A 22,775-nucleotide genomic window follows, 5' to 3' on the forward strand; every position below is an offset into this window, starting at 1 on the left:
CTGTCTGTGCATGCCATTAGCTGTGGAGGGCCCAAGCACCCTCCAGGGAGGGACCCTGTCCTGCAGTGTAGCACTCAGTGCCTGACATTTGGACTCTTCAGTGATTACCTGTGGAATGAGTAAGTGAATTAATGGGAAAGCTGTGTTTACTGAAAAGGCTTTGAACTACTTTCAATGTAACTAGTGACCTCTTTTTTTTTTCCTCCTAATCCAATCAAATTTCTCAGTATTCTTCCTTCACACCTTTTCAAATACATGTACTTAGCTTAAGAATTCAATAGAAATATAAAGCCTAAAACAAATAAAAAAAAAAACAGTCCCCGATTCTACTCCCCACTCCTGATTCACTATTCCCAGAGGCAGTCATTTAAACTTCAGCTGTTCCTTCTGCTCCTTTCCATTCTATTTTAAATAACATGGTTATTACTGCTATTAGATTTTCTTTTCGATTTTAGGCATTATTTTATTGGCTTCTTCCTATGGAACAGGAGTCAGCAAGTATTTTTATAAAAAGGCCAGATAATAAATATTTTAGGCTTTGTAGGCCATATGGTCTCAGTTGCAACTACTCAATTCTGCTGTGATGTGAAAACAGCCATAGACAAATATGCAAACAAATGGGTATGGCTGTGTTCCAATAAAACTTTTTTTCAAAAACAGGAAGTCCTCCTACTATAGAAGATGAAGTGTTATCTTCCCAATATAGTTATTATCACCCTTATTTATTAAATCAACATTTAATTCACAGCTAAGCCATGAACTATACTTTGCTGAAACTTTGTGTCATTTTTTTCCCTGAAGATAATAACTACCTCATTTAAAAATTTGCATGGTTTTCTATGAATCACTAACTTCTCCTAAAATGCTCCTCTAAAACCTTGAAACTCCTTTCAATCTAAGCTCAATGTTCTTCTCTTGGGTCATTATAGGTAGAGTCCTCCATCAGGAGTCCTTCATCATTGTCTCTAATCTGCCTCCTGGGACTTCTCCTCACCATCCTCCCAGAGACTCACTCCCTCAGTCTCTCTCCATGGTGGACTCCTAGGTTTCTCCTCTCTAGGTTTACACTCTCATTTTAGTGAAGCACAACATCTAGTAATGCTCTAGAAAATCCTAAAAATGAGATGTAAGTTTTTAAGACCTTCATGTCTGAAAATGTTTCTATTCTATCTGGATGGACTGGTGGGTTGCAAATCACAGGCTGGAGGTCAATTTCTCCTTGGAATTTTGAGAGCACTACTCCATTGTTCTATTCCTTCCACCACTTATTTTGAAGAATCTGAACAATTCTGATTTCTGCCCATTTGTATGTGACATCTCTTCCTTTTTGGAAAGCTTTTAGAATCATCTTTTCAAAATGATGTGCCTTGGGGCTATTTTCACCCATGAGGTTAGGTACCTGGTGGATTCTTTCTCAATCTGGAAACTGTCAGATTTTTCAGTTTTGAGAATTCCTCTGGTATTATTTCTTCATAATTCCCTCCCTATTGTTTTCTTTTAATGGAACTCATGTTACTATTTGAATGATGGACCTTCTTGGCTGTACCTCTAATTTTCTGTCTCATTTACAACAAAACAAAAAAAAAACTCTTCATGTTCTACTTTCTGAGAAGTTTCCTCAACTTTCTCTTTCAAGCCTTCTTTTTTCTTTATAGCTAATATGTTTTTAACATTCAATAATTCTTTTTTGAGTGTGCTCTGATATTTTATTTTTATAGTCTCCTAAACTCATGTCAACTAACCAATAATGGAAGGGCATTCAAATGACAAATGGTTACTCTTTTCTTTCAAAGATGACCCTGTGGTCTAGTGGAAACATTTCTGCACAACCAGAATACTCAAACTAGCATGAGGAAAGGCTTCTGTAACAGTTTTAAGGATTTCTCATATATTCAAGCTCTGGCTGAGAATATTTTTGCCTTAAAGGTGCCAGAGCACCAAAATATACTGAGGGTTTGATTTTTTTTTTTTGTATTATGAATTCTTTTAGATGCCCAAAAGTTTTCTTTGAAACATACGGCAATTTGTAAATTAGATCAACTTCGGTGAAAAATTATCTTTTGTGTATAAGTCAGGCAAAAGAAAGTCTGTATAGGTAAATTTCTGATGTTCTCTACTACAGGCTAGAGAAAACCTATCACCTTAAACTCAAGACGACATGTCAAAAAATATCCTTATCTGTAAGATTAAAAGAGGGCCATGAGGACAGGGACCGTATCTATTTTGACTATTGTCTAACTAATATTAGCATAGTATTTGATAAATTAGTAAATATACTAATAGCATATATGGACTTATCAATAGTGGGTCAAAAGAGAAAGATCTTACACACAGCTGTAAAGCTTGGACTAAAAATCCATCTCTCCAAAAATGTGAACACCTAACTTAAAATATCTGCCAAATATTACTTGTGAGAAGGCACTAGTACTGTCATCACTTCCAAACTGAGGAAGCTCTGTGCTTGGCCGGTCTGAAAGGATGCATTACCATCATTAACATTAAGACTCTACTCCTCAAAAGAAGTGTTTTAAACATTCAACGAATTAATTTTAGAGTAAAAGCTCTGTTACCCTGCATGTGGGTAATATAAGCCAAAAGGCAAATCAACAGTAGTGATTTTAATCCTTGTCTGTGAGGAGATGGCAAAAGCCAGTAGTAGAAGTGACAACAACCTCCTAAGAAACTCTCACTACTGAACCAAGAGTATTAGGAAAGCCCATTCTGAGAACCTTCCTGTGGGCCAGCTGCTGAATAACAAGGCTTTTACTCACTGAATGACTCTCCTCTGGCTATTCAAAGTAATTACTATTAACTTGAAGCAGTATCCTATGTTGCTATAATTCCTATAACCTGTTTTACCTGAGATGATATAAAGGTATAAACTAAGGAAGCTTTCTATAGTCCAGAAATACCTCAAACAATGCCACATTCGCACAATCAGAACTGAATGGGATCTCTGAGGTCACATGGCCAAACTCTTTGATTTCAGTGATGAGTGAGGCACATTCGCACAATTCAAGAGGAGAAATACCAACTCCAGTTCATCTTCCTTGGTCAGAAAAAAATCATTTCTAAATCCTAATCTGCTCATAAAAATCAATTAGCTTGATAATAATTACTATTAAGAAGAACAGTAGAAGCAAGTGGCCAGACCCTTCTAGAGCTATCATATATCACATTGTAAGGTAAAATCTGACTGTACTTTTTTGTTGTTGTTGGTCCCTATGTCATAATGTCAATTGACCCAGATCAGGAATGAACACAGCTGTGAACACAGGACTGAATAAACCAATTTCTTGACAGCCAAGCCCATTCAAGCTTCAGAGCCCTGAAAATTCAAGTCATAATCTTATGGGGGAAGACAAAGGGTTTTACAAACAACACTCTATATATTCAGTTTCAAGAGGTCTCACCAGTAACACAAGAACTTTTCACTCATTACATTTTAATGTCTTTTGTGGTAGAACAGCAGTACCTGTAGACTTGGGAGTGAAGATATCTGGGTTCTGAACACAAGCGTTGTGGGATTTGGGCAACTTATTTGATCTCCCTGGGTCTCAGTTTCTTCATTTACAGAACTGGTACAAAAGCCAATCATATGAGACTGACACATGGGCTAAAAACAAAAAGTTACTCTGTTAACATTGAAATGAGAAGCCATCTACAAAATAGCTTAAACATGTTTTGGGGCGCTAAAAATGATCTAGATGACATTTTCTCTTCCCGTTTTCCAAAACAGCATATAAGACACAAAAAACTCACAACTCCCAATGTAAACTCCCTCTTGGGGGTATTTTAAAAACAGAGTTATAAAAAAGAACAAACTACTTATACACACAACATGGATGAATCTCAAATGCATTATGCTGAGTGAAAGAGGACAAATTGAAAAGTCTATATACTGTATGATTTCATTTATATGACATTCAAGAAAAGGTAAAATTGTAGGAACAAAAAACATACCAGTGGTTGGGGTTGGGGACAGGAGAGGGTCAACTATAAAGAGAATTTTAGGGGATAATGAAACTGTTCTATATCTTGATTGTGATGTTCATTACACAACGGTATGCATTTGCTGAAACTCAAAGAATTCCTCACCAGAAAGCGGACATTTTTCCGTGTGAAAAAAGTTAATAAAATTTTTAAAAATCTTACTTAAAGGCTATGTTAATCCAAAGTTAATGAGTAATTCAATTAAAAAATTGTTTTCTAAACACCCAACATGTATAATGGGTGACCAATAGGTGAAGAGGAATCAGCAAAGGCAGGTGAAGTTTGGGGCTGGAGATAAGTGATGGAGAGAGGCTCTCAAAATGCCTGGCTAGGCAGTTTGAATTGAATCTTCTATGTAATGGGGAGCCATTAATTGAAGATTTCTGAGAAAAGGACAAAAATTATCAAAGTTTGTTTGATGTAAAGATTCATCAGGTAGGAATAGGTAGGGCAGGCTTGGGGTCCAAGAAGACCAGTGAGTCATACCCAGGTAGAAGTAACAGTAAACAGCAGGCTAGCAAATAAAACAGAAGAGAAGTCATGGAGTCCAAGAAAATGAAGATAATGGATTTTTTTTTTTTTTTTGAGATAGAGATTCACTATTGTCACCCAGGCTGGAGTGCAGTGGCGCGATCTCAGCTCACTGCAACCTCTGCCTCCTAGATTCAAGCAATTCTCTGCCTCAGCCTCCCGAGTAGCTGGGATTACAGGTGCCTGCCACCACACCCGGCTAATTTTTGTATTTTTAATAGAGACGGGTTTTCATCATGTTGGCCAGGCTGCTCTTGAACTCCTGACCTCATGATCCACCCGCCTCGGCCTCCCAAAGTGCTGGGATTACAGGCGTGAGCCACCGCGCCCAGCTGGATTCTTTTTAAGTGGCCTAAGATGCTAGAATGCTGGTATTGGCAAGAGGCATCAGGGCACGAGAAAGAGGTAACTTTTGGGAGAGTAGATGGATAAGTTCTATTACAGACAGGCTAAATTTGAAGGAAAAGTGAAGACTGAGTCACAGTGAGAAAGAATCCAAGGCTCAGGCAATGTAATCCTTTTATCTTAAGATAATGAAACTTAGGGTTAGAGCTGTCAAATGATCTGCCCAAAGCTTCACATTGACTCCGAAGTACAATAATTAGATTTCCTGGATTCCAATTCGGCTCTCTTAGTACTACATCAAGCTGCCTTGCAGACAAATGAAAATAATAAAGTGAGAGATCAGGACTGGAAATGTTCTATTTGGGGCGCTCAGAGAGTGGGCAGAGGTTGGAAAGGTATTCTACAAATACAACAGTCTAGAAGTGCAGCAGTAAAGATGAAATGAAATTAACAAAGGCTGACCAATGATAAATATCATTCTATGGAAAGTGGGAGAACAAGTACAAAGAGAATTCTAACTTTTCTAGCCTGGGAGACTGGGAAGATGATATTAGTACCATTAAGAGGGAAAAACAGTCAACAGGAAGAGCTGGCTCCATGGAGTAAGACAACGCATTTGGTTTTAGACATGGTGACTCTGCTGACATCCATGAGAAGCAGTTCTCAATAATGGCTGAAGCACATTAAAAAAAAATTCACTCCCATCTCCAAAAGATTCCAATTTAACTGGTCTGAGGTGACACCCCACATAATTTTCTAAACTCTCTCAGATGACTCTAATAGGCAGCCAGGTTGGAGGACCTCTACTCTGGAAAAACATCCGAGCAGAAACTCAACCATGAAATCACTATGCCATGTACTCTCCCTGACAGATTGCATTTTCTAGTACTTATTAGAGAGTAGGTAGGGGGAAAAATGAAGGGGCAGTGAGATAGTGAGGGAAGGGATAACTACTAGCTTTTGGGGGGAATGGAAAAAAGTCTCCAAAGTCCCACACAATGGTTTGTGTGGTGTAAAGCCTAAAATTCAGGCCCAATATTATGTGCTGCCTTGGTATCTGAAACTGGAAAGACCTCCAATGGTCTATCCCCAAGTTCCCTTCCCCACTCTGCTCCTGTGGATAAGGTCCCCTAACCAAACCTCCATCCTTACTGAGGGGACCATGTGCAGTTCCTTCTTATGCCCAAGTAGAGGATTTCCATTTCTTGCCAGCCTGTAGAATTACTCATGCAAGTCAATCACATCCTCCCATGGGAACCAGGGGTCACCCCGTCCTCTTGGTACTACAAAGCCTGCCTCCCATAGACCCTGGATGTTCACCCTTTTCCCAAGTACAATCCCTGTGTGGCCCTGGGTGGTGTGTGGTGTCTCCTCCCGCAGGCTATGAGTGTACGTGAACAATAAACTGCTGCTGATCTCATCTGCCCAGTGTTAGGTGTACTGTGCTTGGTCATCCCTATAATCCTGTGTCAGGAATCTCACACAAATGGGGTGAATAGGAGGTAACTAAAGCAAATAGCATCATGAACAAGAGGGCCCAACCGTGACCAAGGACACCTGGTTAGTTTCAACTTATTTCTCTTAGCTAACTAACTAGTTCCATTATATGGTGAAGGCCACATGGGACAGAATCACCAGTTGCTGCTGGGCTTGCACTATGGCCTACACAGCTCTTAACTGTCTTTGTTGGATGTTGTCATCTCTTCCCACCCTAAAAGGCACTTGTCCCCAAGATAAGACTCTGTTGTTAATTGACTGTACCCTGGTGTGATGCGCCATCAGGTCTGGCCTATGTGTGGCAGGTGTTCTCTGAGGCTCCTGCCTGTAAAGTGGTAACAACACAGTGCCTTAACCAGTAAGCACTTAAGTCCCCCTTATCAAGGGTCAAGCTACAGCTCTTCGGTCACTGTGTCTAGCCTGATGACCATCACTGGCCACTTGGGGCAGGCATACACACACTGTTTATGATTGTGTACCCCAGGAACAGGCTCAGGGACAGCTGTTAAGTTTTTGGAAAGGGAGACCACCACCCTGGGGGAGACTTAAGCATGGCTCCTTGGTTGTGTAGTTCCAGCAAAGGTAGTGGTGGTCTTGCCTGTCTCCTGTGCTGCTGCTTCCCTTGCTGTTGTCATGTACACTCTCCTGATCCCCAAGTAGGTATCAGTGTGCACGTCCATGGTGGCTTGTGGTTCAGGTACTGATGAAAAAAAAAAAGGGGGTGAGCATTTGGTACCAGGCCCTCCCAAAACACAGGAAGAGAGAAGTCAAATGCTCTTCCCATGTGAAACTCTTAACGTGCCTGGGCTCTGCTCAGTTCTGCTGCTTACCAGCATGCCAAGGAGCTAATTTTATGTTCACAGGGCTCAATAAGCCCCATCCAGGCCACAGACAAAATGACCTTGCTGGATGTGGACTCCAACCCAGGAAGATTGACTGGCACTCCCTGAAGGAACACAAGGCTGCTATGAGGCGGGCTTGCAGGCTCCTAAACCTCTCCCTGTAACTACACAGATGTCTACAGCATGAGTGACTGGATGGAGACAAACACTGAAAATCATACTCTACATGGCTAAAAATCCAAAATATTCTGAGAAAATATGTAAAGAGAAAAAAGAATAAAAGTAAAAAAGCAAGGCTGTAGCAGAGGATGGTTTCAATCCAAGGGTGAAGTACACAGAAAGCAATTAAAATAGCTTGATAAAACTATCATTTAAAAGGACCATATAAGCACATTTTAGACAAGATAGATAGATACTTCAGATAATATTACTTGATACAAGGAAACAAAATATTTCAAACAAATAACTCATATAATTAAACACAGATAAAATCTTGAGGGATATAACCGTACATAATTCTGTTTAAATTCTTTATCTACATTCATATAGCCCTCCATTTGAATTCTGAATTGTTAAACAAAATTGTTTTGGATCAATTTATGGTAAGGAACAAAGTTTATCTGATAGCTATCCAAGATGGCAGGGAAACAAAGTAAACACATTAACAAAATTATAACAGACAATACTTAGCAGAGAAAAGTTTGTACTTTGAGATAATTAATAAAAGAAAAACCACATATTTATGGTTGCCCAGGCTCAGCACTCTTCAATCTACAGAAAACAGAAGAGTTGGCCCAAGTGGCAAGTCAATCTATAATTGGAAAACAGCTCCTCAACCAAACCTGTGGAATTCCTAGCAATAAAAAGATGGGCTTCCTCCTATAACTCTGCTGTATTAAAGTAAAATTTTTAAAAACCCAATATTTTTCCAAAGTGTTTTTTTCCCTTTGTTTAAAGAGAAGACACATAATGGATTCTGAATCTGACACAAATTCCTTCCATTCAGGTTTTATGGATGAAATGCTAAAACCTACTTCCACATCCTACATCAAATTACCTTTGCAAACCAAGAAGGATGCTGCACCCTGATGGCTTCCACAGTCATTTCTGCCTCCTAAGAGCTGTTCAACTCTGGCACCTCCTGCACTTTCCTTAGGGTCTGAGAATTTTTGTTTAATATAAATTGAGAATGTTTTTCAAACTCTGGATTTTTCAAAGATGAGTATCAGTTCTTAATCCCCTCCCACTTCCAATTCCTCCTTCCTAGAAGCCTAAGAGGGAGGGAGTACTGAGGTAAACACAAAACTAGTCTGTTGGGGAAAATACATAGAGCAGGACATGGCATGAGGTGACCAAGAGGTATGGAAAAAGTTCTCCTTGCAAAAGCAAACAGAAAGCTCTGGGTGAATGATGAGGCAGGTGGCTAGCAATAGGATCCTCCTGCCAAACAAAAAATGTCCTGGTTCTCCCAATCTGGTTGTAGTACACTAAAAGCAGAAACTGCAGGCAATAAGCAGAATATTTAGGAGGCCACTTTAGGCCAACTTAAGCCCATCCACAAAAATCTGTTAACACCATCTACACCATATGTGATTCATTTAATTTGCCTACAAATTGGTACAGACTTGGTCACCTACTTTAAACTCATACTATATTAGCAAACCACTACTAACTTCTAATACCTAAATAAAACTAGTTGTTTGCCTAAAAGTGAAGTTTTCAGATTGGCATGGGGCACTACTTTAGGGGGACTGGTCTGAGAGATGACAGAATTCATGCCCAGAATGAGCACAAGAATCACAGAATAAAGCCTGTTTGTTTCTTGGTAAACAGTACCAATATCCAGATCAAAAAGTAACCATTTTATAACATAAACTTAACTTCTTACCATGTATCACCTCCTGCATATACAGTCAGCCCTCCACATCCTCAGAATTAAAGATCAAAAATATTTAATAACAATAAGGCAATTAAAATATAAAATTTTTAAAAATATAAAAATACAACTTTTTAAAATACAGTACAACAACTATTTACATATAGCATTTATACTGTATCAGAGATGATTTAAAGTATATGGGAGGATGTGAGTAGGTTATAGGCAATTACTATGCCATTTTAAATAAGGAACTGGAGCAACCTCAAATTTTGGCATGGGATGGGTGTCCTGGAACCAATCCCCCATGGACACTGAGGGACTACTGTATTTATGTTACCTGTTCCAATGTTCCCTTCCATCATCAGTCCAAGCACTGAGAACCAGCTCCAATGGCATGATTTAAGGTTTTTCTAGATACAGATGACCAGTTTGGAGTACAACAAATTTCCAAACTGCCACTCTAGAATACATGTGCAGAATGAGACTCATATCTTCAATCATAGGCACCTTTTCTCAAGATGTTAAATTTGAAAATGACAGTCTTTACTGGTGGCAGTACAAGCCCAGACTAATAATAAAATGAAATAAATTAAAAGTCAGTGAACTCTCATTAGGTTGAATATGAAACCCAAGTATCAATTCTTAAAGGCTCATCAAAATCCTCAAGGAGTTGGTGCAAAGCTGGGTATCACAGACAAGTGATGCAGGCAGCCCTCAAAGAGAGGAATATAAAATAATAACACTCAGAGGGCCAAGGAACTGCCCAGATTCACCTTTGTGAACTCAGTATCTAGGACAGACCAATAATGTAAGTACAGTACACATATACTAGTTGGGCAAGTAGGTGGAATGAATTTATATATGAGGGGCCCACTGGCTAATTTCACCACTTATGCTGTTTTCTTCCTTCACCCCCAAATGACTTAAGGGTTAAAGATTATAAGGAAACAATTTTTACAAGGCAGTCATTCTAGATTCTCAGCCTTCTGTGATATGTTTGCAGTAACTCTTGCCCTGGCCAAATCCTCTCTATGTACAAGAATACCACCAGCTATTGAAAGCACAAAACAACCTCATATGCTGTATACTGGGAGATATCAAGCTCTGTCCACAAAAGTGGAATTAGACTAATGTGACTCACTTTAACAACTGAGCTTTAAGCAGCTGGCTCCACTTTGAAATTCACCCTAAATTCTGTTCACAGTGTAATGCCAGAGTTTCTTAACAACCTCTGTTTTCTGTGAACATGAACTCTTTCTAGATTCCATATCCATCCCTTGGATCCAGATTCAACTGCTAACTTGGTAGATTCCTTAGCTTCTGCTCTCAGAGTTACCTACTCCTGAACAAATAACAGTACTGAGCTGCTTCTGCTTGAAGCTTTTAAAAGCTACACACTGAGTCTCTCCTATCACCACCAGTTCCCAAACAAGTCTACAGTTGTTGTTATCATTAACTCCTATATGGGAGTTACAGTGGGATTCCAAATCTCTTAGTGAAGAAAAAGAAGGTCTGGTGATTTGTCAGCTGTGAGAAGGATATATCATGACAAAGATAAAAGCAAAGACAACGCTTACAGAAGACAGCAGTGATATTTTATTTAGACCAAGAACAAAGAGGTATCTGTGAGGCCATAAAAAAGCTTAGAAGTTGCTGCTTAAAGTCTTGGTAAGAAGAATGACAGCAAAATGAAGAAGTGTAAGTTGCTCTACTGACGGCTTCAGAGTTACCAATTTGATACCAAAAGAAAGGAAGTCTGGCCATTAATTTTTTTTTTTTTTTTTTTTTTAGACAGAGTCTTGCTCTGTTGCCCATGCTGGACTGCAATGGCACGATCTCAGCTCACTGCACCCTCCACCTCCCGGTTCAAGTGATTCTCCTGCCTCAGCCTTCCGAGTAGCTGGGACTACAGGTGCCGCCAACACACCTGGCCAATTTTTATATTTTTAGTAGAAACGGGTTTCATCATGTTGGCCAGGCTGGTCTCAAACTCCTTGGCCATTAGTATTTTTGTTGAATGAATTAGATATCTATTTTTAGACATTAAGTTAGACAACCTTCATATGGTTTTTAAACATTAAAAAAAAAAGGATGAGATACCCTGGATTATATTTCCTCTATTCTAGACTGGATCTTGTTTTAAAGCTTTTACTTTTTGAATCAGGTTACACCATATTTTAAATTTTAATGAAATATAATAGACATTATAATAGAAAGCACAGCTCTTCACAAACTGCACACAGCTGTGTAACCAGCATCCCCATCCAGAAACAGAACATTAGCACTACAAATCCATACTCCTTTCAATACTGCTTTTCCCCAAAAGTAACCACTAGCCTGACTTCTAACAATGTAGATTAGTTTTACCTGTCCTGTGCCTTATAAAAGTGGAATTATGTAATCTGTGTTCTTGTACTTAGCTATTATTTAGTCAATACTCTTATATTTGGCTTCTGTGCCAGTTATCAATTTATTGCCTCTTAACTCCAAACTCACCCTTCAGTACTAGCTCTGTAATAATGGACTGGACTCTCCAGAATTCCTCCTTTACAGAGCACATGATGCTAAACCTGGTCAGCAGAGGCAGCTGGAGGGACAACGCAGGAAGAAGGGAGCTTGTCTTTTGGGTTCAAAAGCGCTGTGCTTTTGCTGTTCTTGCTCTTGCTCCAAGGTCTAGTGTAAGTATGTGGGGACATATGGTAGTGTTCTGCCTACCACATGCACAAAGCACAAAGCACATGGTCCCTCAGTGACACCAGGCCTGGTGACCACCTTCCTGTGCTCCTGTAGACACGGACAGCAGGGACTCCAGGCCTCACACACACAATAGCCTCCTGATGGCCTCTGCTGGCTTGTATCCCAGAGAGTTGTTTCCTGCAGCCCTCCTAAAAAGGATGCCATGTACCACTTCCCTCTGCATGCCCAGCTACCAGGCCTGGCTCATCTGGAACCCAAAGCGTTGTTTAACAGGGCCTTCCCAATGCGGACTCTGCATGCCTCTGCACCTTGTAGCCACAGCGGCACCCAACTCCCTTCTGCATGCCTACCCATCAGGTTTGGTTTCTTGCTTGCCCAGCAACTGTGTATTAACTCTGGCCCAGGCAAGCAGGGAACTCCTCTGCCACCCAATGGGCTACAACCACACCTTTACCAATTAAATCTGAACCCTAACCCTGGGAAAAAGGTCCTCTTATCCCATTCAGAGTATAAATAATTATCTGAAGTTATTCAACTTTAATAACTAGGAGAGCTTAGATCTGTACTTGGGACAGTATAATTCTAAAGCTCAAGACCCTTTTTTTTTTTAGACTGAGTCTTGCTCTGTCGCCCAGGCTGGAGTGCAGTGGCACGATCTCGGCTCACTGCAAGCTCTGCCTCACGGGTTCACGTCATTCTCCTGCCTCAGCCTCCCGAGTAGCTGGGACTACAGTCGCCCGCCACCACGCCCAGCTAATTTTTTGTATTTTTAGTAGAGATGGGGTTTCACCATGTTAGCCAGGATGGTCTCGATTTCCTGACCTCGTGATCCACCCGCCTCGGCCTCCCAAAGTGCTGGGATTACAGACATGAGCCACTGCACCAGGCCAAGACCATTCTACTACCACCAATCTAGAACAGATTAAGGACATTTCACTAAACTCTTCTAAATTCTATGAAGTTTGAGGCAGTGTCATACTCGCCACTACCTTTCATTACCTAGTATAGTGCCTGGCACACAGAAGGTGCTCTGTAACTATCTGATGAATGAATGAAGATCTTGACATTGGAACTACCCATTTTATGCAACCTAAATTCTCAAATTCCATGATTTTTAGCCTCCATGTATTATGTTACACAACAACCCTAACTGGGAAAACAATATTGCAGATTATTGTGATTAAACCATGTAAACATCCAGACCAAGTGACAAAGAAGGGCTAAATTCTGAAAGTTCCAAATTAGGAGTAAGTGATACAAATATCTGTGACCCAAGAAAGAGGGTTAAGACCTATGATCTAGTAAGGAAGGTAACACTAGCACACAAGTAACTGGAGAACAATGCAAAAAGAAAAAAACAAAAACAAACATCAAGACCTAAGCTTTAAAAACCTAAGAGCCATGCGAGTTAAGAGACTGTATAATATCAATGAAAGTTTGACAATCTATTTCATAAAGTAAGCAAGGACTGGAAGTGAAGACAGAGAAAACATGGGTAGTTCACTCTACATTTCACCACGGGAGGGGTCTCTGACCATAAGGCAGCTCTAGAGAAATCAATTCAGGTAAGGGCTACTGCAGCCCCCAGATCCAACAAACAAACTCCCAGCTCTGGGCCTTTAGAGACCACAGGGAAAAGGGCAAGAGTGGATTCCTGATCCTTATAAGCACATGGGTAAAAGCAAGGACCCATCACTCAATGTTCAGATAAATAGTGGATCTAACTTTCTCCTAAATGCAGGTCGGCAATGCCCTCAGGCAAGCAAATGTTATTTTTAGCTATCACTACACTGAAAAGGGAAAGAGGAAGAGGGAAGGGAAGTGGGGGTGGGGGAGGAAGGAAGAGAGGGACAGGGGGTGGGGAGAGGGAGAGGCAAACCATCTAAAATGTAAATTTTATGTACTTCTTTGTATGTTATTGTTCAATAAAAAGTTTACCAAGGGAAAAAAGTGAACTGTTTTTTCATTCTCAAAGATGACGTGGGAGCTCCAAAATGCCAGCATGGGTCCTACCTATACTTGGAGATAATGAAATCATCCCCTAGTTTTTTCTTCTCTGGGATAAATATACCAGGTTCCTAGCTCCTCTACTTGGGTATTATTTAGTCACTCATACATTTTCTGCTCTCTCCTGAACCTTCCATGTTCTGTATACTCCTTAATTTACAAAGTCAAAGCTGAACTAAGGTACTTTATCAGGTTAAAGTAGTATGAACCCTCACAAATATTCATCAAAATCAAGTCAAACCTTATGATGAAATACTAAAGGCACTCCTGTTAACAAGTTGGGACCAAGACAAAAATGCCAGCTATCAGTGAGTCTAAAGAATATGCAGAACGATTATGAGGTAATATAAACTGGAAAGAAAAACACAAAATTCTTATTTATATATGATGTGGCTGTTTTATCTTGTAAGCCCTTAAGAAATAACTTCAAAACCATGAGAACCAAGAAAAAGAGTTTATAATGAGGTAGGAAAATAGGGTCTGGAGGCAGGGAACCTGAGGCAGGGAACCTAAGGCCGATTCACGCCTACAGCTAAAGCCAAAGGAAAACCCCAACTTTCCATACAAACAAAAGGATCGAAGGCTACACCCTTTGCAAAGCCCCCTCCTTTTCCATGTGGCCCAGGGAAAACCGATCAGACATTTGACTAGGAGTGTAACTTTGTAACTTCACTTTAGCCTCTGATTGGTTGCTTTCCCCAATCAATCAGGTGTTTGCATAGGAATGTGACCTTTGTAACTTCACTTCAGCCTCTGATTGCAGGCCACTACTTCATTTACATAGCGTGTACATCAAGTAATCAATGGGAAACCTCTGGAGGGTATTTAAACCCCAGAAAGTTTTGTAACAGGTCCCTTGAGCCCCTATGCTCAGCCTGCTTCCACCCTGTGGAGTGTACTTTCGTTTTCAATAAATCTCTGCTTTTGTTGTTTCATTCTTTCCTTGCTTTGTTTGTACATTTTGTTCAATTCTTTCCTTGCTTTGTACATTTTGTTCAATTCTTTGTTCAAAACACCAAGAACCTGGACACCCTCTACCGGTAACAATAAGATGGCCAGTAAAAATATATATTTATACAAACATCAATAACTTTGTGAAAAGAAACCTCAAGCTTTCTTCACATATGCACCTGCTATGGTTCATGTCATAAATACCAAGTGAATACCAACTGGCTGCAACTGCATACTTAAGAGACTGGTGCCAAAGGAGGGCCCATCCACTCACACAGACCAGACATGAGAAGTCAACCTTCCAGAGGACAGTTCAGCCCCACACTGGAACCGACCCCAACAGAAAAACAAAAAACAAAAAACACCATTAACGCACCCAGAATTGTGCTAATATGTCCAACATAATATTCATCTTGAATTTCCACTACACCAAATCCAATCATTTCTCAAATTTCTCCCTTTCATTGTATGGTTTGTCCCTCCGAGGAGCTGGTCACCTCACTCAACAACCAACATGAGAAGATATACAGGACAGTCATTAATGAAACTAAAGAATCAACTCTTTTTCAACTATAAAGTGAAGCCAAAATAAAAAAAATCCTTTTCTAAAGATGCTATGCCATAAAATCCCATAATTCTATGACTCATTCCCTAAAACTACATACCATGAAAAAAAACTTTGGGAAATGAATTATTTTGAAGAAACAGTAATATCATCTCTATTTACTGAGTTATTTATTCTCTAGATGAAAAAGAAAGCTTCTTTTAATATAGAGGAAAAATTAATTCTTTTTTTTTCTTCAAGCAAAATTTACTAAAAAGGAAAAGCTGCACAGAAGTCAGGAAAATGATTCAGGAAATGTTTTTGCAGGAAGACACAAACATCTTTACCAAAACATGTTAGGTACTTGAAGAAATTCTCTGTACATGAAGAAAATTAGCCCTGTAATAATAATTACCAAAATAATATACAGCATCAATATTTGAATTTGTAAACAGAATAAGTAAAAGTAAGAAATACGTTGTCTTTAAGCTCATCCCCACTATATATGTAGCGAATCAATCCCTTGAGGCCTTTACTGTTAAGTTTTACCACTGGCACAGGCCACCTGAAACTTCAAACACAGGCCAGGCGTGGTGGCTCACATGTGTAATCCAGGTACTTTGGGAGGCCAAGGCGGGCAGATCACCTGAGGTCAGGAGTTCGAGACCAGCCTGGCCAACATGGTGAAACCCTGCCTCTACTAAAATACAAAAATTAGCTGGGCGTGGTGGCATGCACCTGTAGTCCCAGGCTGAGGCACAAGAATCACTTGAACCCAGGAGGCAGAGGTTGCAGTGAGCTGAGATCGCACCACTGCACTCCAGCCTGGGCGACAGAGCAAGACTCTGTCTCCCCCCAGCAAAAAAAGAAACTTCAAACACAGACTCAAACACACAAGATGAGTACACCTCAGTCAGCACCAGACCTGAGGACGCTCCCTCATCTTTTTCCATTTTATCCCTATCAATAACATCCAACTATTCAAACCATCAGATTGTTATTACAATGTTCAGATTCTTGAGGATGTAGTCATGTTCTCACCCACACAGATTAACCTCTTATCAGACCAACACAAAAGAAGGACCATCCAAACATAAAAACAGAGAAAGAGAAAGGTGGTTAACTTTTTTGTGAAAAACATGCCTGCTCAAATTATCTACAACTCCCATCTGAACTAACATTTGGTAGAATAAATACACATGCTAAAGTAAAAACAGAATGAGGGACAGAAAAGGAAGGAAAGAGAATTATTTAAGAATTTGTTAAAATATAAGATACATTACTTCAACAACAACAAAAAATCACTAAGCAAAGAGACAGCAGAAATAAACTTAGAACGAGAGAGTCTCTATAGTATCTCCTGGCTTGGTTCTACAGAGACTTGTGGCCGCTATTTATCATGATTTGGAGAATTTGAAAAATTGTTTCTTTGGTATTGGATACCAGCTATTTGGCTTTCTGCTCCAAAAATAGCCTGAAAATATATAGCTAAGATTTATCTGGGTGGCCGCTTTGTAACAAGCAGCTTTAACTTCAGTGCAAATAGAGTCCAAAGGTCAGAGTGGTATCCTGTGTGAATCTGTGACCTCAAGCTGTCTGCTACGTTTCTCTTGATTTTTCCATCTACTCTGACCTCAAAGATTCTCCTATAGAATCTGGGGGCTATTTCTGCTCTAAGGTCAAGTAAAAAGATTCAAAAAAAGGTTATACATTAAGAAGGACTTTCCAAAGGGAAAGCGCTAAACATTTGCTCCTTTACGTGGACATGTAGTGTGTGTGTGTCTACACACACTACACATATGTGTAAACAAAATAAATATATGTGTAGCAAACACAATAAACAAAACAAATATATGTGTAGATTATTGTATGTTGAATAAACAGATTATCTTCCAAGGCTAGTGGGTCAGTACACTTCAGTTATTTTTCTAGTAATAGAGACACTAGACAATCCATTCTCTCCCTCTCTTGGAGTACAAATTCTATAATCAACTGTCTGGGTTCACATCTTAGCCCTTGCTAGTTGTTAGCCACACAGCCAGAGCAAATCACTTAACCTCCTTAACTCAAGTTTTCCCATCTACAAAACATGACAATCATATAAGGATTAAATAAATTAGTAGATGCAAATTACAAAGTACAGTGTCTGGCACATAGAAAACACTACATGAGGTTAAATATTGATATTTAAACAACAGCCATCCTAGGTTATAGAAAAAATACGTGATAACAGCAGTGAGAATAAATGACCTATATGGATTTCAGTCTTCACCATGATTCATACTCCTCAACCAAATAAACTTTAGAATTTTATTTTCCTTTATTGAAGGAGCAAGCCCCCCACGCCCCCAATGTAGCCAGAAACCACAAATGCATAATGCAGAAACACGACTCTAGATCAAAATCTGTTACCATAAAACTGTTTAAAAATAACACATTCAAAAACAAATAGAGGAGCACTTAATTTAGCAAACTACAACTTTTAAACATTCTTATCACAATGATACCTCTTTTACAAGGCATAATCACATAAAAAGATATGGTGTATAGCGAATAAATGAATTTCCTCACAGTTTTTTAAAAAAGTTTTTTAATAAAAAATTTCCGTGTTACTTATTAACAAGATGAAAGTTTGCTCTTCTTACAATGTAGCAATAGTGAAATAATTATTTAGGTAACAATCACCAAGGAATGTTAAGTTCAAACCAATTAGCTGGGCGTAGGGGCAGGCGCCTATAATCCCAGCTACTCGGGAGGCTGAGGTGGGAAAATCACTTAAACCCAGGAGGTGGAGGTCGCAGTGAGCCGAGATCGCACCACCACACTCCACTACAGCCCGGGCAACAGAGTGACAAAGTGAGACTCCGTCTCAAAAAAAAAAAAAAGAAAGAAAGAAAGAAATTTTCTATAATAAAAAAAAATTTCTTGCTGGGTGCAGAGATGCACACCTGTAATCCCAGCTACTTGGAGGCTGAGGTGGGAGGATCACTTGAGCCCAGGAGCTGGATATCAACCTAGACAACATAGCAAGGCCCCCATTAGAAAGAAAAAAAAAAAATCTACTTTGGGAGGCCAAGGCAGGTGGATCACCTGAGGTCAGGAGTTCGAGACCAGCCTGGCTAACATGGTGAAACCCCATCTCTACTAAAAATATAAAAATTAGCTGGGTGTGGTGGCATGTGCCTGTGATCCCAGCTACTCGGGAGGCTGAGGCAGGAGAATCGCTGGAACCCGGGTGGCAGAGGTTGCAGTGAGCCAAGATTGTACCACTGCACTCCAGCCTGGGCAACAGAACGAGACTCCATCTCAAAAAAAAAAAAAAAAAAAAAAAAGTGCCAGGTGTGGTGACTCACGCCTGTAATCCCAGCACTTTGGGACGCCGAGGTGGGCTGATCACGAGGTCAGGAGTTCGAGACCAGCCCGACCAACAGTGGCGGGAAACCCCATCTCTACTAAAAATACAAAAATTAGCTGGGCGTGGTGGCTCACGCCTGTAATCCCAGCTACTGAGGAGGCTGAGGCAGGAGAGGTGCTTGAGCCCAGGAGGTAGAGGTTGCAGTAAGCCAAGATCACAACACTGTACTCCTGCCTGGGCGACAGAGTGAGACTCTGTCTCAAAAAAAAAAAAAAAAAATCTTAAAAGGCTAAAAGAAACAAGAGACAGGAACTCATAACCAGTCCTAAGTCTGGCCACCGTCCATGAGGCATGAAAAACTGCAGAAGGCCTACATCTGTAAAACACAAAAACATCTGATACTAGTGGTCTCTAAAGACTATACGTGAGATGTTTTAAGCATACCTCCTTGTCAGCAGAAATTCTCTGCACATTCCTATGGAGGTGTGCTTTCCACTAAGCAATGAAAATCTATTATCAAAGTATAAACAAGATGTCTTGATACCAAACTGAACTTTTCCAACCTCCTTACCCTTAGGAAAATTATTCAAAGAAACTGACCACTAAAACATGTTTTTAAACATGATATATATATTTCTAAGAGTTCAACAGCTTGCCTCTTTCTACTTTTCAAGCTTTTCCAACACTCATATATTTTTATACAATCAAAGAAATAATCTTTAGTACAATAAAAGAAAAAAATTGGGTTTTTGTTTTGTTTTGCTTTTTAAAGTACATTTACAGCAATCTCTTCTCCATTTCCACTATTCCCAACTTAGGTCAGGCTATTATCACCTCATACTTGGTATCAGTGTAGTTAAAACATTAACTGACTATATCATAGATTCATAGGTCAAGTGTATCACCAATTTCCTTTCAAAACTTAAGAAAACAGCAGTCTACTACATGTATAGAAGATGGCACTGTTCGAATGCTATAAACTACTATTTTGATAAAGGGGTTCAGCAGGCAATACAGGCACCAAAGCTATGCAAAGAGTGTTTATGTTTTGCTCTGTAACTGTCCTTTGTATCCTTTCTTGTTGGGTAAAGAAAATAGTGAATCCAAAATATTGTACCTTAACAATATTTTCCCAACAGCTGTCTGCCAAATATGTCTTACCAGGCTAAACTCACCTTTCTGTGACTCCCTTCTTTGCTTTACACATCTCTTGATTGGCTCACCCCTGTAATCCTAGCACTTAGGGAGGCTGAGGATGGCTTGAGCCCAGAAGATCAAGACCATACTGGGCAACATAAGGACGCCCCATCTCTAAAAAAAAATAAAAAATTAGAGAACCCAGGTGTAGTGGTGCATGCCTGTGGTCCCAGCTACTTGGAAGGCTGAGACAGGAGGATTACATAAGCCTGGGAGGTCAAAGTTGCAATGAGACGTGATTATGCCTGGGTGACACAGTGAAACCCAGTCTCAAAAAAAAAAAAAAAAAGGAAAAGACAACAAAAAATACATCTATTGAACATGTTTTGGCCAATAATGGTAAAAAGGAGACACTATAAAAACAACAATAAATGATGTCTTACCTTTAGGTAAGAATGAATATAGTTTTAACATACAATTCAAAATAAGCTATAAAATGAAGTACATTTGGTTGTAGTGAAAGCTAATCTGGGAAATTTATTTCTCTATTGATCTTATTCCCCTAGGAATAGGGCAGATTGTTCCTAAGGTAAGACAGAAGAGACAACATTATTGCTAGCAAAGTTGAAATTAATCAGCTCTGCTCCCTTTCTGCTGTTAATATTCCAAGCAAAGGTGGTTACTTCCTTAATTAATACAGAAGTAGTAGTTATATTTATCCACACTGATAGATGGCTTTCCACTGTTAAAGTCCTTCTACTCAAAGAACTTATCTTCTAAGAACTTAAAATTGGATTTGTCTAATATTCACTGTTAATAATTAAGGTAGAATGCAGCAGCTAACATTTACTGCATTTTGTCTTAATCATCATAATCATCCCATGAGATAGGTACGGTACTATTATTGTTCCCATTGTATAGATGAGGACATTGAAGCACAAGACGGTCAAGTAACTTGCCAAAGATAACAGATCTAATAAGTAGCTAAGCTAGGATTCAAATCCAGGCAGTCTGGTTGCTGAGTCCACATTCTTAGCTGCACATGATAGGCCTGCCATAATGAAATAATATCACCATTATCAGCTGACCACGGTGGCTCACACCTGTAATCCCAGCACTCTGGGATGCCGAGGTAGGCGGTTCACAAGGTCAAGAGATCGAGACCATCCTGGCCAACATGGTGAAACCCTGTCTCTACTAAAAATACAAAAATTAGCTGGGTGTGGTGGTGCGTGCCTATAGTCCCAGCTACTCAGGAGGCTGAGGCAGGAGAATTGCTTGAACTCAGGGAGGCGGAGGCTGCAGTGAGCCGAGATCATGCCACTGTACTCCAGCCTGACGACAGAGCGAGACTCCATCTCAAAAAAAAAAAAAAATCACCATTATCACCACTTGAAGTTTTCAAGGAGCAAACTGAAAAAGTAAATCTACTAGTACCTTCTTCTAAAATCCATTAGTCACATTAAATCCTGTGAAGAAATATTTAATGAGCATCTGCTGTATAGCCAGCATTGTGCTAGTAGTAAAGGGAATACTGGAGAAGCAGAAGACAGCTATTCCCTCAAAACCTTATTGTCAAGGTAGGGACACAAAACATACATGGATAACTAGGAGAGAAAATGTATGTCTTCTCTGTATAAAAGCAACTTCCTCACAAATTCATCCATGGCCAGCCCTCACTTCTTACTTGAGTGCATTTTTAAGATACATCACAGTTGACTGTGGAAACACAGAGACAATCTTCCCAAAAACTGTTGGTGGGAGGGGCAGTGTGGGTTTCTAAGGACTAAAAATCATTAAATAATCTCAACTCAATTCAATTACTTAAAAAAAAAACCTACACCTAAAATGTAGTTAAAGAATCTACATATCCAAATACTAACAAAACACTACCTGCTTTTAAGAAATCAGTCTCATGAGAAAGACAAATCTGCTAACAAATGTCATTTGATGCAAGAGCTGATATAACTAAGGAAGAGTTTCGGACACGGTGAGTAGAAATAAAGGAGTAGGCAATTCCAAGGGGAAATTCTTGATAACATAAATCTTTAGGGTATTATAAAAGGAAACAATATGGAAATGTGAAACTTTATAATAATTGAAAATAGTAAAGTCATACTCCAAATCCTGTAACAGGTGCTGAATATTCTATATGCACAAATATGACTCCCTGCAAACCCCAATACCAATGTAACAGTAGTAGTCTCAACATAAATATTTAATGTCCATCTCAGTCTCTATTGTTCTACAGTAATGTCCACCAGTCGATCAAAAACTATAAGGCATATGAAAAAGCAAAAGCAGGGAAGAACCCATATCAAAAGACAAACCAAACAAGAGAGCCAAACTAAGAAAGATGACCAAGATGTTGTAAGTATTGGAGAGGAAATTTAAAATAACAACAATTGATATGTTAAAAAATTTAGTAGACAATATGTATGAACAGATGGCAAACTTCAACAGAAAGATGAAATATGTGACAAAGAATCAAATGGAAATGGTATAATTTTTTTAAGTCATCAGAGATTTAAAAGTTCCTTTGATGGGCTCATAAGAACACTCTACACAGTCAAGGAAGTAATCGAACTTGAAGATAGGTCACTAGAAATCACCCAAACTGCAACAAAAACGGGGAAAAAGAAGTGGAGGGAAACACAGAAAGAAGGCTGGAGAGCTGTGGGATATGATCAATGGCATCATATACATGTAACTGGAGTCCCAGATGGCAGAAGGGGATAGAGGGACTGACGCAGAAACAGTATTTGGCAGGGGGGAAAAAAAGGCTAAGAATTCTCCAAAAATAAAGTCATCAAATCACAGCTCCAAGAAGCCCAGAGAACCCTACAGAATAAATATAAACAAGCACACAAATAAATATAATAAATACAATAAAGAACACACATTGAGACACTTCACAGTTAAATAGCTAAAAATCAAAGTTAAACAGAAAATCTTAAATGCAGCCAGAGGGAGGAAAAAGACATTACCTTGGAAGAA

General features: G+C 39.5%; 1 protein-coding gene across 7 annotated transcripts in view, besides 1 other annotated feature; it reads right to left on the reverse strand.

The window, feature by feature from the left end:
* The window catches only part of CHD6 (chromodomain helicase DNA binding protein 6), a 216,295-nt gene that overhangs the window by 158,453 nt on the left and 35,067 nt on the right, over positions 1-22,775 (reverse strand). The window contains exons 2-3 of one of the 7 annotated variants that reach the window (XM_047440546.1): positions 3,476-3,616; positions 1-108 (exon numbers count right to left, since the gene is read on the reverse strand). The exons of 2 other annotated variants lie outside the window; for them this stretch is intronic. The gene's annotated coding sequence lies outside the window, so the exon portion shown is untranslated. 4 more of the 7 variants (XM_047440545.1, XM_047440548.1, XM_047440547.1 and 1 more) reach the window with 4 other exon arrangements.
* Positions 6,711-6,905: a silencer, noted in NCBI's record as "fragment chr20:40195885-40196079 (GRCh37/hg19 assembly coordinates)". NCBI's record gives its function as "represses an EF-1alpha promoter that drives an FKBP-Casp9 reporter gene in an ReSE screen in K562 erythroleukemia cells {active_cell/tissue: K562}" and the evidence as "EXISTENCE:reporter gene assay evidence [ECO:0000049][PMID:32094911]".

Source organism: Homo sapiens, chromosome 20 (assembly GCF_000001405.40).
Source record: "Homo sapiens chromosome 20, GRCh38.p14 Primary Assembly".
Classification (NCBI taxonomy): Eukaryota; Metazoa; Chordata; class Mammalia; order Primates; family Hominidae; genus Homo; species Homo sapiens.